The sequence below is a fragment of the Homo sapiens genome, chromosome 1, assembly GCF_000001405.40.
Source record: "Homo sapiens chromosome 1, GRCh38.p14 Primary Assembly".
Taxonomy (NCBI): Eukaryota; Metazoa; Chordata; class Mammalia; order Primates; family Hominidae; genus Homo; species Homo sapiens.
In genome coordinates, this window is record NC_000001.11 from 62156892 (window position 1) to 62173947 (window position 17056).

The 17056-nt window shown below is 44.7% G+C and overlaps 1 protein-coding gene across 17 annotated transcripts in view; it reads left to right on the plus strand.

Moving 5' to 3' along the window:
* The window catches only part of PATJ (PATJ crumbs cell polarity complex component), a 421436-nt gene extending 414412 nt beyond the window's left edge, over positions 1-7024 (plus strand). For all 17 annotated transcript variants that reach the window (XM_011540462.4, XM_011540467.4, XM_011540464.4 and 14 more), the window contains one exon: positions 4017-7024. In XM_011540462.4, the coding sequence (XP_011538764.1) occupies positions 4017-4163 (147 nt within the window). In that variant the 3' untranslated portion in view covers positions 4164-7024. The remainder of the gene's footprint in view (positions 1-4016) is intronic.
* The last annotated feature ends 10032 nt before the right edge of the window (positions 7025-17056 follow it).

Sequence of the window (17056 nt, forward strand, 5' to 3'; positions counted from 1 at the left end):
GGCAACAGAATAAGTCCCTGTCAAAAAAAAAAAAAAATTAAAAGAAACTTAGGATACCAAAAAGATCACATGAAAATCTATACCTTTCAAAATTCCTGTGGGGGAAATGTGTAACTCAGTATCAGAATTCATTTTAGAAAGACTTCATTAGGCCGGGCACGGTGGCTCACGCCTGTAATCCCAGCACTTTGGGAGACAGAGGCAGGCAGATCACGTGAGGTCAGGAGTTCAAGACCATCCTGGCCAACATGGTGAAACCCAGTCTCTACTAAAAACACAAAAATTAGCTGGGCATAGTGGCAGGTGCCTGTAATCCAAGCTACTCGGGAGGCTGAGGTGGGAGAATCGCTTGAACCTGAGAGGTGGAGGTTGCAGTGAGCGGAGATTACACCATTGCACTCCAGCCTGGATGACAGAGCAAGACTCCATCTCAAAAAAAAAAGTTATCTTGCTCAACTAAGAAATTATTTAATTCAACCCCTCCAGAAATTATTTAATTCAGCCCCTTATAACTCCTACACACCCAAAGTGCCTGCGAATGATCACTGGCACTTTGGGCGTATAGAAGTTGAGAGACTTAGTCAATATGACTAATAGGCTGTCAAGTCCTTCCGTTTTCTTTCAGGTATCCGGTTGAAAACTTAAAAATCCAAGCCAGGAGGGGGATGATGGCTCATGCCTGTAATCCCAGCACTGTGGGAGGCCAAGGCAGGTGGATCACCTGAGGTCAGGAGTTAAAGACCAGCCTGGCCAACATGGCAAAACCCCATCTCTACAAAATATACAAAAATTAGCCGGGCATGGTGGCAGGTGCCTCCAATCCCAGCTACTCAGGAGGCTGAGGCAGGAGAAAGGCTTGAACCTGGAAGGCGGAGGTTGCAGTTAGCCAAGATCATGCCATTGCAGTCCAGCCTGGGCAACAGAGTGAGACTCTGTCTCCAAAAAAAAAAAAAAAAAAAAAAAATAATCCAAGCCAGCCTTAGGTCTTAGTCCCTTCAGCAGCTGAATGTTACCCTAAGCCAATAAGAGATTGACCTAAACACTTCAGCAACTCTAAAAATTTCAGGAGCAGTTTTTCAGAGCCTATGAAATCTGAGCCATGAACTTGGTTGTCACTAGTGTTTTATTTTATTATATTACCACCACGTTGAGTAAATGCCATATGTCATACATTTAATCCTTAGAACAGGCCACAAGGTAGATAGTAGATGCCCATTTTACGGCATCTGAGAAGACTAAGTGACCAACTTGGGACAAATAGCAAGTGAGTAAAGAGCCACAATTACAAAGTAGGTAGAGGTTTTCAAGCCATGCATTTATTTCTTTTTTACCTTTTTCCCTGTAGTCTACAAATGCGGCATTGGTAAAGTAGGAGAGTAGATACATATCAGTAAGTGCTCATCAACCAAGCACTGCAACACTGGAAGAAGTCCAAATCCTAGAAAGTTAAAAAATCATCCTGGCTGGGCACGGACTCATGCCTGTAATCCCAGCACTTTGGGAGGCTGAGGCAGGTGGATCACCTGAGGTCAAGAGTTCGAGACCAGGCCGGTCACGGTGGCTCACACCTGTAATCCCAGCACTTTGGGAGGCCAAGGTGGGCGGATCACGAGGTCAGGAGATTGAGACCATCCTGGCTAACACGGTAAAAAACTCCGTCTCTACTAAAAATACAAAAAATTAGCCAGGCGTGGTGGCGGGCGCCTGTAGTCCCAGCTACTCGGGAGGCTGAGGCAGGAGAATGGTGTGAACCGGCGAGGCAGAGCTTGCAGTGAGCCGAGATTGCACCACTGCATTCCAGCCTGGGCGACAGAGCGAGACTCTGTCTCAAAAAAAAAACAAAAAAAAAGAGTTCGAGACCAGCTTGGCCAACATAGTGAAACTCTGTTTCTACTAAAAATACAAAAATTAGCCGGGCCTGGTGGCAGACGCCTGTAATACCAACTACTTGGGAGGCTGAGGCAGGAGAATCGCTTGAACCTGGGAGGTGGAGTTTGCAGTGAACCGAGATCGCACCATTGCACTCCAGCCTGGGCGACAAGAGTGAAACTCCTTCTCAAAAAAATTTAAAAATTCTTTCCTTGCATTACTAAAAAAGATAAATAGCTTAACATAGTTTTTAAAAAATTAATTTACACAGATATCTGAGATTTACTGAAGCCCTTAAATCTTAGCATGTAAAATTTAATAAAATCAACTTTGCCTAGTAATTCTGATTTTATCCAGTAAAATTACTTGTTTAATTTTGTCTTTAATACAGTTGACACATTACTTTCTTAAAAGATTTGAGTGAAGTTGCAAGTTTTGGGGTTTATTTTTGAGACAGAGTTTACTCTTTTTGCCCAGGCTGAGTGCAATGGGATGATCTCAGCTCACTGCAACCTCCGCCTCCCAGGTTCAAGTGATTCTCCAGCCTCAGCCTCCCAAGTAGCTGGGATTACAGGCATGCGCCATCACATCCAGCTAATTTTTGTATTTTTAGTAGAGACAGGATTTCACCATGTTGGCCAGTCTGATCTTGAACTCCTGATTTCAGGTGATCCTCCTGCCTTGACCACCCAAAGTGCTGGGATTACAGGCATGAGCCACCATGTCCAGCCAGTTGCAAGTTATTAATATTTAGTTTTGATATTTTGCCCACAGTATAGACCTGATTTCGAATACTTTTTTTTTTTTTTTTTTTCCTGAGACAGAGCTCACTCTGTCACCCAGTCTGGAGTGCAGTGGCACTATCTCAGCTCACTCCAACCTCTGCAGGTTCAAGTGATCCTCCTGCCTCAGCCTCCCGAGGAGCTGGGACCACAGGCATAAGCCACCACGCCTGGCTAATTTTTTGTAGAGACAGTTTCACCATGTTGCCCAGGCTGGTCTCAAACTCCTGAGCTCAAGCAATCCTCTCGCCTGAGATTCCCAAAGTGCTGGGATTACAGGCATGAGCCACTGCACCCAGCAGGTTTTGAATATTCTTTATTGCACATTCATTTAGAAATTCCACCATTCTCACGGTTTAGAAAACCTGTCTGATTCCCCAGCACCTCAGGACCTCCAAGCTGCACATGGACACAGATCTCAGGAGCGTTAGTGCCTCCTAGCTCGGCTTCTGATTGAGTCGGTCGAGGGCCAAGTGCCTGTGGGCTTTGGTTGCCCACTGAAGTTTGACCTCATTTAGAGGATTCTTCTGGCACTGACTTTTCAAGGGACTGAAACAGTTACCCCTACAGATGGTGAAACCTCCTGTAAATCATTTTTTAAGGTCTTTTCTTCCCTTACCAGTCCAAAATGTTTCTAGTAATATCGTGGCATTTTTAGATATGCAGCTTTAGAGTGAAAAAACCCTGAAGTTTCACTGGCTTTGTGCCGTTTTGAGGAACTATGCATGACTGAGTATATAATAAAAGTAGTCATTTAGAAACCTATTTAGATGATCAAAGATAAAGTGGAAGGTTTTGAATATATTACAAAATTTTAGAGATGCTACACTCGTATATATTTATATGTAGATAACAGCTTTATTGAGATATAATTCACTTACCATACAATTCACCCATTTAAAGACTACACTTATTTTTGACAGATCACAGTGCTGATAGCTTAATAATGCAATGGGAACTCTGTATAATGGTGGTATTTGCAGTAAGACTAACACCAGATTCAGTTCTATCTGCCTTTTTCTGTATATTACGTTTTCATGAATAGGACATGATATGACATCCAATTCCATTTAATACTAAATAGTGAAATAAGGTTCTACTTGTATTAAAAGCAGTGTATCAGTACATTTCTACTAGTATGTTATTTAGATTATCCATAATTATAGTTACTATTCAACCATTATTATTCAAACAGCATATCTTACTTTTTTCCTAATTTAAAACATTACCTAGAAAAAACTTAATTGGTAGTTTTTAAAGTTACTCTTTTAATATGCACACCAGACAGATGTTAGAGGTTTTAATATCAATTTAATATAAACTGTGTTTTACCCTGGATTAAACTGAAATGTTTCTTGTTTGTAGGGAGCAGCTGCAGATGACGGCCGATTAAAACGAGGGGATCAGATTTTAGCTGTTAATGGCGAGACCCTGGAAGGTGTTACTCATGAGCAAGCAGTCGCCATTCTAAAACACCAGAGAGGGACTGTAACCTTAACTGTGCTGTCATGAGCCTCGGGCCTGATCACAAGATAGATGTTGTTGTTTAGAATATCCACAGGCAGATGAAGTTCTGAGTGGGTATGAAAAGCACCCTCAACTAAAATGCACCTTCATTCTTATTTCTTGCCCTCTCTGCTCAGGAGAAATGGCTGAGGTTTCATGTGAATTTCCCAAATCAACAATCATCTCCTAATGTTTCCCAGTTCCTGTCACCTGTTGGCGAGGTTGATTTCTAAAACTTAAATGAGTCTACCTGTTTTGCATTTAATTTCAGTGTTCCGATTTCTTTTTTTTTTTTTTTTTTTTTTTTTGAGACGGAGTCTCACTCTGTCACCCAGGCTGGAGTGCAATGGCGCAATCTTGGCTCACTGCAACCTCGGCCTCCCAGGTTGGAGCGATTCTCCTGCCTCAGCCTCCCGAGTAGCTGGGATTACAGGCATGCATCACCACACTGGGTTTATTTTTGTTTTTTTAGTAGAGATGGAGCTTCCCCATGTGGGCCAGGCTGGTCTTGAACTTCTGACCTCAGGTGATCTGCCTGCCTTGGCCTCCCAAAGTGCTGGGATTCCAGGCGTGAGCCACTGCGCCCAGCCCAGTATTCTGATTTTAACCAACTGGTTCTGATTATATTTACCAAAACTGGAGTTAACTTCTCTTTCCTTATACTCTTCTCTCCCTATCCCCTACTCACACCGAGGCTTAACAGCAACCTCAGATCTCATCCAATGGACAGAAACAAATGTTAAGCAACTTGTCATCTCACTCATGATTTACTTATGCTAATTGTCTCTTCAAGTAAGCAAGAAAACATTAGCAGTGTAATTAATTTACCAGTGATCCCCAAGATGAAATACCAGATTCTCCTATGGGAAATTACTGTGCTGTCTTCTGTATGACTTATGGTCAAATAAGTCTCAAATTCATTTCTCTGGATAGATCTTTATATGCTAGTCATTGGTGATTTTGATGAGTCAATTTACAGACTGTAATCTTCTAAAAATTCTGAAAGACTAATTGTTTTCTGTGCCATATAAATGCATACCACTGAGCAAATGAACCTTATTCTCAGCAGGAACAACTAGCATACATGTTCTGAATTCTAACAGTGCTAAATTACATTCAAGTCCAGGAAGATCACCTGGAATTAATGGCATTTCAGTTGGCAGGCATCATTCCCACCCCTCGGTCTTAGGAAAAGGAGGTAGAAGCCCCAGAACCACACGGCAGAGATCAGCAAGTTTTGTCTCAAGTCAGACAAGGTCTAGGTGGCCTTGGCCTTATGCAAAGTGGGTGACATATTTGATTATATTTCCCTTTACCTCCATAGTAGTCAGGCCAGCAGCATGGACTGCAAGAACCTAAGGGAGCAACATACTTAGCTGCAAAGTGAGCAAATGAATTGAGCCTAGGAATATGTGATGAAAATGCATGGCTGATGTTTCCTGATCTCCAAGGAGACTCCCATTTGCTGAAGTTTTGCATGCTAAGAAATCAACTACAGCAGAAAATACAAGAATACCTTTAAGTTGATTATTGGCAATCTTATTCATATATTAGCAAGAAAAAGGGAGAGATGCTTACTGGTGGATGCTATAGAGTCCTCTGTTTTTAAAAGTACCATGGCCGGGTGCAGTGGCTCACGCCTGTAATCCCAGCACTTTGGGAGGCCAGGGCAGGCGAATCATGAGGTCAGGAGTTCGAGACCAGCCTGGCCAATATGGTGAAACCCTGTCTCTACTAAAAATACAAAAATTAGCTGGGTGCAGTGGCAGGCGCCTGTAATCCCAGCTACTCCGGAGGTTGAAGCAGGAAAATTGCTTGAACCTGGGAGGTGGAGGTTGCAGTGAGCCAAGTTCGTGCCACTCCACTCCAGCCTGGGTGACAGAGCAAGACTCTGTCTCGAAAAAGAAAAAAAACCATGAAGGATGAGTACTAGAGTCAGTAATAGAAGTAGTTCAGCATTATTTAACTACAACACAATGCTGCAAATATTTCACAGTAATTATCAAAATTTAATGGGCTCTAATTTAAAATGTTATTTAATAAGTATAGATTTTAATTGAGAATTATCTTTGAGTAGATGTAATCACAAAGTGCATTAACTCTTGTTGGAATATTTTATGGCTATTCCAAAGTATAGAGTGCCTAAATTTTGTGTTGAAAATGTCTTTCATGACGGTATTAAGTTTTCTGAAATTACACATGGCTTTTAAAATTTCTAATGTATCCAAGATGTGCAATGTTGTTAGGATCTCATTCTTCAGTGCATGAAAAGCTACTACCCTCAGAACATTTTGTGTTAATTGTACCTGCAAGAACACCTCAGGCAAGCCAAGAAGAAATGAAACCCAAATAAAACTTGAAAATGCACCTTAAAAATATATATACATATAATAGTTTTGAAATGGGATTCTGCTTTATTTTGATGGAATGGCCATTAAATACACATTTTGAGATAATACATTGTTGTGGTGTTTCTTTATACATTATCCTTTTAGGTCGTGCTAGTAAAAGTATATTGATGAAGGAATTATGATGCTTTATACTTCTTACTGCACTAAATTGATAGAACTAGTACTTGTCATAATCGGTTCTGTCTCCGCTCACATGACTAATACGTAATTGCCTTTCCAAAAAGATATTTTTGCCTCAGAACTTACTGACAAGCTGAGAGGCTATGAAGATGGAAATTTGTGAAAGAAGTAGTGCTCTTATATTTGGCCTCATCATTTGGGCCATTTCAGTATAGTAATGATATCACTAATCGGAATTAGCATGAGAGGGAAGTAAGCCAGGAAGAATAAAACTGCTGAATGTTTGTATGTGTAAGATATTTCCAAAGATTCTAAATAAATGTAGTTGCCTACAGAGCAAATGGAGTTTTATTATATATGAAAAAGTGTACTTTCTGGATCTAATTGTGCTTTTTCTTCAGCATTTTCTTCCCTAATAGAAAAAAAAAAAAAGTCCAACTTTTCACAAGGTTTTTTGGTGTCCTGTTAAAATCTGGAATCCATGGTGGCTCACGCCTGTAATCCCAACACGTTAGGAGGCCGAGGCAGATGGATCACCTAGGTCAGGAGTTCAAGACCAGCCTGGCCAACATGGCAAAACCCTGTCTCTACTAAAAATACAAAAATTAGGATGGGCGCAGTGGCTCAGGATCCATGCCGCCATGCCCAGCCAACCTCTAATGTTTCTTTCCTGGCCCTTTCATGCATGTGCAGGTGAGTATTTGACAAAGAGGCGATCTCCATGGCTCTGTCAACCTACAGCTCCCTCCTTTCCAGACACTACATGTTCTAGCCAACTTGGCTGGCCTCCCTGAACGTGAATCTCTTTCTCCTCTACTCGTGGACTCTGTGTGAGTTTCCCCTTCCTGAGTGTGACATGGATACTGCCTCCAGGGATAAAACTGGGACAGTTGTAGAATTTACCTTGTTTTCCTTCTTGCAGGGATCAAAATCCTATGCTGCCTGTTATCTGATGTCTAAAAATGTTTCATATATTATGTCCATTTTTCTAGTTGTTTACTACAGTGGGAGGGCAATTCCCAGAGCACCTTATCCTTCATGCGGAAGCAAAAGTCCTGTATCCTTGATGCTACTGGGAATAAATGTCTCACAATATGATTATTCAATCTCATGTAAGCATTTTACACTTAAGGGAGCGCTCTACCAATAAGGTCCCTGGTTTCTCCTAACTTCTAGAATTGAGAGCCCATTTGACTCAGTGGTTGGCATCCTTCCCCAACCCCTGTTCACAGCCACACCTGCCCAGGTGACCTAGGGAAGATATCCCCTCTTCAGGAATACTCATTATCAGGATCAGAACGACAGCCATTTCTTTTTCTTTTTTTGAGATTTGCTCTGTCGCCCAGGCTGGAGTGCAGTGGTGTGATCTTGGCTTACTGCAACCTCTGCCTCCCGGGTTCAAGCAGTTCTCCTGTCTAGCCTCCTAAGTAACTGGGACTACAGTCACGTGCCACCATGCCCAGCTAATTTTTGAATTTTTAGTAGAGACAGGGTTTCACCATATTGGCCAGGCTGGTCTGGAACTCCTGACCTTGTGATCTGCCCACCTCAGGCTCCAAAAGTGCTAGGATTACAGGCGTGAGTCACTGTGCCTGGCCTACAGCCTTCTTTTCATGGGAGATTCAGCAACATTTCCTTTCCTTACAGCATTGGTTTTCAAGTTTCAAAGTAAGCACATGAAACAGTTGTTTCCTGAACCATAGGTAAGTCTTAATTCTTTCTTTCCTTCCTTCCTTCTTTCCTTTCCTTTTTTCTTTTCTTGTTCTTTTTTTTTTTAAGACAAGGATCTTGCTATGTTGCCCAGGCTGGCCTTGAACTCCTGGGCTCAAGCAATCCTTGCACTTCAACATCCTGTGTAATTGAGACTGCAAGTGCACGCCACCTTGTCTGGCACAACTAAAATTTTTTGCACCCAATTTTCTTAATTTTATGTTTTATTTATATTTTTTCTATTAAAGTCAACCAGAACAGTGAGTTTTTTTTTTAACACAAAAATTTAAATTTAGGTTATAGTCTCAGTTGTATGCCAGCCTAGTGCAAATGTTAAGTTTTTGACAGCTTGACTTTCAATCTTCAGATGCTCTATATTTAAGTAAAGATAAAAAAAAAACATTTCACTCTCTACACAATCCCAAGATAAACTGACATTTGGAAGAGTCATGTGTGTGTGTGTGTTTGACGGTGTATAAAAGACTCTCACCCCTGCCTTGCCTGAGCAGCATATCCATTTCCAGTCATGTGAAGGAGGAAGCAAGAAAGTTGCTTTGGTCTTGGGTCCCTGAGAGATTGCTGTTGGGTATCAGGACCTATGCTTGGCAAAATTATACAGGAACAAACATGTATCTGATCCTCCTTCTAGAATCAGTTTTTTTGAAATGGAGGCAACCTCAGAACTGGGAGTCGGTCCTGCCTGCTACACCACTCCTCCCATTTTACAAGTGGGAGACGCGTGCCAGAGAAAGGAAGTGACTATCCCAGTCCCCCACTAGCTTGCAGTCCTAAGAGTTTTCCAATAAACCTTAGTGGGAATTCACCAACTTAGCAAACTACGGTAGAGTACTCACACATGGCTACTAAATTAGTTCGAAATATTCTCGAGAGCTTTTTTTTCCTCTTTTGAGTCAGGGTCTCACTCTGTCACCCAGGCTGGAGTGCAGTGATGCAATCACGGCTCACTGTGGCCTCAAACTCCCCGTCTCCAGTGACCCTCCCACCTCAGTTCTCCAACTGGCTGGGACTACAGGTGTGCGACACCACGTCTGGCTAATTTTTTTTTTTTTTTTTTTTAAACTTTTTGTAGAGATGGGGCTCTCGCTGTGTTAAGACTATTTTTAAGGGCAGTTTTGGCCAGGCACGGTGGCTCACACCTGTAATCTCAACACTTTGGGAGGCCGAGGTGGGAGGATCACTTGAGCCCAGGAGTTTGAGACCAGCTTGGCTAACATGGTGAAACCCCATCTCTACAAAAAATACAAAAATTAGCCAGGCATGATGGCCTGTGCCTATAGTCTCAGCTACTCGGGAGGCTGAGGTGGGAGGATTGCTTGAGCCTGGTAGGTTGAGGCTATGGTGAGCTGTGTTTGCACCACTGCACTTCAGCCTGGGTCACAAAGTAAGACCCTGTCTGCGAAAAAATTTCAAAAGGCAGTTTTAAGTTAACAGCAAAATTGCGAGGAAGGTGCAGAGCTTTCCCACATACCTGTGCCCTCACTCACACAGCCTCTCCCATTATCAACATCCTCCACCAGAATGGTACATTTGCTACAGTGAATGAACCTATATTGACACATCATTCTCACCCAAACTCCATAGAGTACCTGAGGGTTGAATCTTGGTGATGTACATCCTATGGGTTTGGACAAATATATGATATGTGCCTACCATAAAGGTATATGGAGTATTTCCACTGCCCTAAAAGTCCTTTGTGTGCTCCCTATTCTTCTCCAACCCCCTTCCCAACCATGGAAACCAATTTTTTTTTTTTTTTTTGAGATGGAGTCTCTCTCTGTCTCAGAGGCTAGAGTGCAGTGGCACAATCTTTGCTCACTGCAACCTCCGCCTCTCAGGTTCAAGCGATTCTCCTACCTCAGCCTCCTGAGTAGCTGGGATTACAGGCGTGCGCAACCACACCCAACTAATTTTTGTATTTCTAGTAGAGACGGAGTTTTGCCATGTTGGCCAGGCTGGTGATGAACTCCTGGCCTCAGGTGATCCACCTGCCTCGGCCTCCCAAAATGCTGGGATTACAGGCGTGAGTCACGGCACCCAGCCCGTCTTCCATGTCTTTTCATGACTTGATAGCTGATTTCTTTTTAGCACTGAGTTATACTCCGTTGTGTGGATGTACCACAGTTTATCCATTTACCTACTAAAGAACATTTTGGTTGCTTCCAAGTTTTGGCAATTAGGAATAAAGCCACTATAAACATGTGTGTGCACAGCCTGAATTTGTAAGTTTATTTCAGTTTTCCCTCAACACAACCACAAGATTTGGTTCCACAATACAAGCACAAGATTTAAAAAAGATTAAAATAAAGAGTAGAAGAAAACAAACAAATGAAAAAAGGACACATCTTTTGGATGTAGACAAAGAAGACCTAGTCTATCCACTCACCGTATATCTCCACATCCTGGGAAGAATTTCCAAGGCCAGGCACTCTGGATACCCTCCCCCCTCATGGTTTAAACCTTCTTCTTCTCTAGATAGACATAGTTGATGACAGATGAGGTGTTTCAATGGCTCCTCCTGCCTAATGGCTTTACTGGGCATGCCCCCAGCATTACTCTCCCAGGAGAACAGAAGAAACGGTAATGTCTTAAAGGGACTCCATCATTCAACTCCTCTCAACCCCAGAGCCATGTGTTACTCTTTGGGGAACTTCAGGATAGCTGTCTGAAAACAGTCCAGGGAGGCTAAAGTGGAGGATCACTTGAACCCAGGAGTTCGAGATCAGCTAGGGCAACATAGTGAGACCTGATCTCCACAAAAAGTAAATTAGGCTGGGCTCAGTAGCTCACATGTGTAATCCCAACACTTTGGGAGACTGAGGTGGACGGATTGCTTGAGCACAGGAGTTTGAGACCAGCTTAGGCAACATGGCAAGACCCTGTCTCTACAAAAAACACAAAAATGAGCTGGGCCTGGTGGCACACCTGTAGTCCCAGCTACTCCGGAGGCTAAGGTGGTAGAATCACCTCAGCCCAGGGATATTGAGGCTGCAGTGAGCCTTGATCGTGCACTACAGCCTGGGTGACACAGTAAGGCCCCTATCTGAAAAATAATAAATTACTTAAAAAATCAGCCTGGCACAGTGGCACGCACCTGCAGCCCCACCTACTTTGGAGGCTGAGGTGAGAGGATCGCTTGAGCCTGGAAGTCGAGGCTGCAGTAAGCGATGATCACACACTGCACTCCAGCCTGGGCAACAGAGTGAGACCCTGTTCCTCCTCTCCCACTCCCCCCAAAAAGAAAAGAAACATACTCCAGTGGCCCCCATGCCATGAGGAATAAGATTCACCTGTTCTTAAAGACTGAGAGCAGAAACTTCCTGTCCAACATTGTATTAGTTAGTGTTCTCCAGAGAAACTGAACCGAGAGGATTTGTATGTATTCAGAAAGATTTATCATAAGGAATTAGCTTTTGCAGTTACGGATGTGGGCAAGTCCAAAATCTACACTGTGGGCCAGCAGGCTCAAGACCCAGAAGATAATTTTCTGTGAAGAATGTTTCACAGCTGGGCATGGTGGCACGTGCCCGAAGTCCCAGCTACTCCAGAGGCTGAGGGTGGGAGGATCACTTGAGCCCAGGAGGCAGAAGCTGCAGTGATCTGAGATGGCGCCACTGTACCCCAGCCTGGGAGAAAGATCGAGACCCTATCTCAACAACAAACAAAGCAAACAAAAAAAGGAACATTGATCTCATCCAAAAACACCCTCCAAATTCACAGATCAAGCATCAGACATCATGAGACCTTGAACAGACCCCTCTAGGGACGGCCTTGCCTTAGGGAAAGTGCAGAAGTGTCCACTATCCTTGTTTACAACCCCTTTCCAGCCTCCCGCCCCCTCTGGTGTCCACAACTGTGGTGCAGTCACCATCATCACTTCTACCATCCCAGAACCCTCAGGAGCAGATGGCTTGAGATCTTGCCTCTGCCACCCCACCACCCAAGGACCCTAAGTATTTGTATACCTAATTAGGTGGCTTCTCAGTGGACTCAGGGTCAAGTCTAAACTCAGCATGGATGTTAGGCTCTTCATAATTTAGCTTCCACCTTAACCTCCAGCAGTCGTGTTAACTCTCGTCTCACTAAGCACTTATCCCAGGATAAGCCGGACTCTCACACCCTTAGGCCTTTGCGCACACTATCCATTGGCATAGACAGCACTGCTGCTCAAGATGTGACTGCAGACCACCATCATCAGCATCACCTAGGAGAGGTGCAAATGTATGCCCTAGCCTAGACCAACTGCATCAGAATCTCTGGGGTAGGGCCAAAAAATCTGAGTTTTAACAAGCTCTTCTGGTGATTCTAAACACTAAACTTTGAAAGCCTGGAGAACACTCCCCTTTTTTTCCAGTCTGTGGTCATTCACAAATTGCCGAGTTCTTTTCTGCCTCCAGTGGCTAAAGGCAGAAAGAAACACAAGGCTCCTTCCTTGCTGCCTTGCCACTGGAGGTATTTTACCTGTTAGAACCAGTCTCAGACTGAGTCTGCACCTGTACGAACTTTTTTTTTTTCTTGAGACAGGGTCTCACTCTATTGCTTGGGCTGGAGTGCAGTGGCGCGATCATGGCTCACCACAGCCTTGACCTCCCAGGCTTAGGTGATCCTCCCACCTCAGCCTCCCCAGTAGCTGGAACTACAAGTGCATGCCACCACACCCACCAAATTTTTTGTACTTTTAGTAGAGACAGGATTTCGCCATGTTGCTCAGGCTGGTCTTGAACTCCTGGGCTCCAGTGATCTTCCTACATCAGCCTCCCAAAGTGCTGGGATTACAGGCGTGAGCCAGCACACCCAGACTGAACTTCTTTCTTTTTTTTTTATTAAAACAGGGTCTCACTCTGCCACCCAGGCTAGTGTGCAGTGGTGAGACTAGGATTCATTGCACCCTCGACCTCCTTGGCTCAAATAACACTCCTGCCTCAGCCTGCTGAGTAGCTAGGACTACAGGTACACACCACCACAGTGGGCTTTTTAAAATTTTTTGTAGAGACGAGGTCTTACTATGTTGCTCAGGCTGGTCTAAAACTCCTGGCCTCAAGCGATCCTCCCACTCAACCTCCCAAAGTGCCAGGATTACAGTTATGAGCCACCATGCCCAGGTGTATGAACATTTGTTAGCAGACAGGTACAACACACAGCCCCACCTGTCCAAAAAGCACAAACCTGACAGGGTGCGGTGGCTCATGCCTGTAATCTCAGCACTTTGGGGCCGAGGCGGGTGGATCACTTGAGGTCAGGAGTTTCAGACCCGCCAGGCCAACATGGTGAAACCTCGTCTGTACTAAAAATACAAAAATTAGCCGGGCTTGGGGGCGCCTGTAAATCCCAGCTATTCGGGAAGCTGAGGCAGGAGGATCTTGAACCCGGAAGGCAGAGGTTCCAGTGAGCTGAGATTGCACCACTGCACTCCAGCCTGGATGACAGAGTGAGACTCGGTCTCAAAAAAAAAAAAAAGAAATAGCACAAACCTGCTGCTCTTTTTAGGGCAGTGGTTCTTAACCTGGGCTATTCATTCAAATCACCTGGGGATATTTTAAAGGCTCAATGCCCAAGCACACCCCAGAGTAGGGGGAGAAAGGGAGAAATCTAAGAACCGGTATTTTTTTTTTTAAAGCTCCTCAAGGAGTTACAGGAAATTTCACTCCCAGGCAAACAACATTCAGACTTGAAGGGGTGGCCAGTCCCTCCACACCTGTGGGTATTTCTAGTTGGGTGGGACGAGAGACTGAGAAAAGTAAGACACAGAGTCAAAGTATAGAGAAAGAAAAGTGAGCCCAGGGGACCGGCGCTCAGCATACCAAAGACCTGCACCGGCACCGGTCTCTGAGTTCCCTCAGTTTTTATTGATTATTATTTTCACTATCTCAGCAAGAAGAATGTGGTAGGAGAGCAGGGTGATAATAGGGAGAAGGTCAGCAACAAAACATGTGAGCAGAAGAATCTGTGTCATAATTAAGTTCAAAGGGAGGTACTATGCCTGGATGTGCAAGTAGGCTAGATTGATGTTTCCCTCTGCCCAAACATCTCAGTGGAGTAAAGAATAACAAAGCAGCATTGCTGCCAACATGTCTCGCTTCCCGCCATAGGGTGGTTTTTCTCCTATCTCAGAATTGAACAAATGTACCATCGGGTTTTATACCGAGACATTCAGTTCCCAGGGAAAAGGCAGGAGACAGTGGCCTTCCTCTATCTCAACTATAAGAGGCTTTCCTCTTTTACTAATCCACCTCAGCACAGACCCTTTACGAGTGTCGGGCTGGGGGATGGTCAGATCTTTCTCATCCCACGAGGCCATATTTCAGACTATCACATGGGGAGAAACCTTGGACAATACCCAACCTTCCAGGGCAGAGGTCTCTGCGGCTTTCCGCAGTGCATTGTGCCCCTGGTTTATCGAGACTAGAGAATGGCGATGACTTTTACCAAGCATACTGCTTGTAAACATTTTGTTAACAAGGCACATTCTGCACAGCCCTAGATCCCTTAAACCTTGATTTCATACAACACAGGTTTTTGTGAGCTTAAGGTTGGGGCAAAGTTACAGATTAACAGCATCTCAGGGCAAAGCAATTGTTCAGGGTAAGGTCAAAATGAAATTTCTTATATCTTCCCTTTCTACATAGACACACTAACAGTCTGATCTCTCTTTTCCCTATAAGACCTTTTTGCTTTTTTTTTTTTTTTTTTTGAGATGGAGTCTTTCGCTCTTGTTGCCTACGCTGAAGTGCAATGGCACGACTTCTGCTCACTGCAACCTCCGCCTCCTGGGTTCAAGCGATTCTCCTGCCTCAGCCTCCCGAGTAGCTGGGATTACAGGCATGCACCACCATGCCCGGCTAATTTTGTATTTTTAGTAGAGATAGGGTTTCTCCATGTTGGTCAGGCTGGTCTCGAACTCCCGACCTCAGGGGCCTCAGCCTCCCAAAGTGCTGGGATTACAGGCGTGAGCCACCAGCACCTGGCCCAATATTCAGATTTTCTATCCCATCAGATAACCAACTAACTCTTCCGGAAGAGATGAGACCTTGAGAGAGGGAATGCAGAGCTGAGAATTCCAGACCTAAAGAGCTACCTGGAAGGTACTGGTCTTTAGACCCTAAGTCGCTGTTTAATCATCTTCATAGGCTAGAAATGAAGTCAGTCCAGGCTTGGGCCACATCCTCCCAAACTCACTCTCTTCCTTCCAACTTTCCACTGTAGCACTGCAGCTGATTGTCTCTGGAACCATCCAGACCAATGGAGAAAAACATGTTCATTTAGCTGAGTCCTCAGTAGGAACCAGACAGGAGGGGAGGGAAGGCAGAAAAGGCCTGGCTGTAGTGCAAGCATTCCTGACCTCCAGTGTGGCCAGAGCCTCAGAAGGTCAGTTTCAACCCCAGCCAGGTTATTAACTGACAGTACGGGAAGGTGGACGTGATCCTCATACCTGTTGGTGCTTTGTCTCTGACTATGACCAGGTTCCATTGCCTTCTAATCCCAGCTTTTCCATTGGCCAGTTAGATCCATTTGCCTGGCCTGGACATTGAGCAACAAGATACAGATGTGAGGGTTTCAGGGTTTGGCCATGGATTTCAGTCCTCGGGTGCCCCCCCGCCCCCACCCTGCCCATATCCTGCTCCTTTCCAATGTCTGCACTCTGAAGGAGACTTGTTGCTAGAATTTATCATTTTGAGTACTCTAAGTAAGATTGCTATTATAGGATACACTTAGAAAATGCTAGCAGAGGCCGGGCACGGTGGCTCACGCCTGTAATCCCAGCACTTTGGGAGGCCGAGGCGAGCAGATCATGAGATCAGGAGATCGAAATCATCCTGGCTAACATGGTGAAACCCCGTCTCTACTAAAAAATACAAAAAATTAGCTGGGCGTGGTAGCGGGCGCCTGTAGTCCCAGCTACTCGGGTGGCTGAGGCAGGGGAATGGTGTGAACCCAGGAGGTGGAGCTTGCAGTGAGCTGAGATCGAGCCACTGCACTCCAGCCTGGGTGACAGAGCAAGACTCCGTCTCAAAAAAAAAAAGGAAAACACTAGCAGATTTAGTGGTCGTTTTTTTTTTTTTTTTTTTTGAGATGGAGTTTCCCTCTTGTTGCCCGGGCTGGAGTGTGATGGTGCAATCTCGGCTCAGTGCAACCTCCACCTCCCGGTTTCAAATGATTTTCCTGCTTCAGCCTCTCGAGTAGCTAGGATTACAGGCACCCACCACCATCCCCAGCTAAATTTTTTTGTATTTTTAGTAGAGATGGCGTTTCACCATGTTGGTCAGGCTGGTCTCGAACTCCTGACCTCAAGTGATCCACCCGCCTCGGCCTCCCAAAGTGCTGGGATTACAGGCGTAGGCCACCGTGCCCGGCCCTGACAGTAATTAAAATTGATTTGTAGGCCAGGCGTGGTGGCTCATGCCTGTAATCCCAGCACTTTGGGAGGCCAAGGCAGGCAGATCACTTAAGATCGGGAGTTCAAGACCAGCCTGACCAACATGGAGAAACTCGCCTCTACTAAAAATACAAAATTAGCTGGGCATGGTGGTGCATGCCTATAATCCCAGCTACTCGGGAGGCCAAGGCAGGAGAATCACTTGAAGTCAGGAGGCAGAGATTGCAGTGAGCCGAGATCATGCCATTGCACTGTAGCCTGGGTGA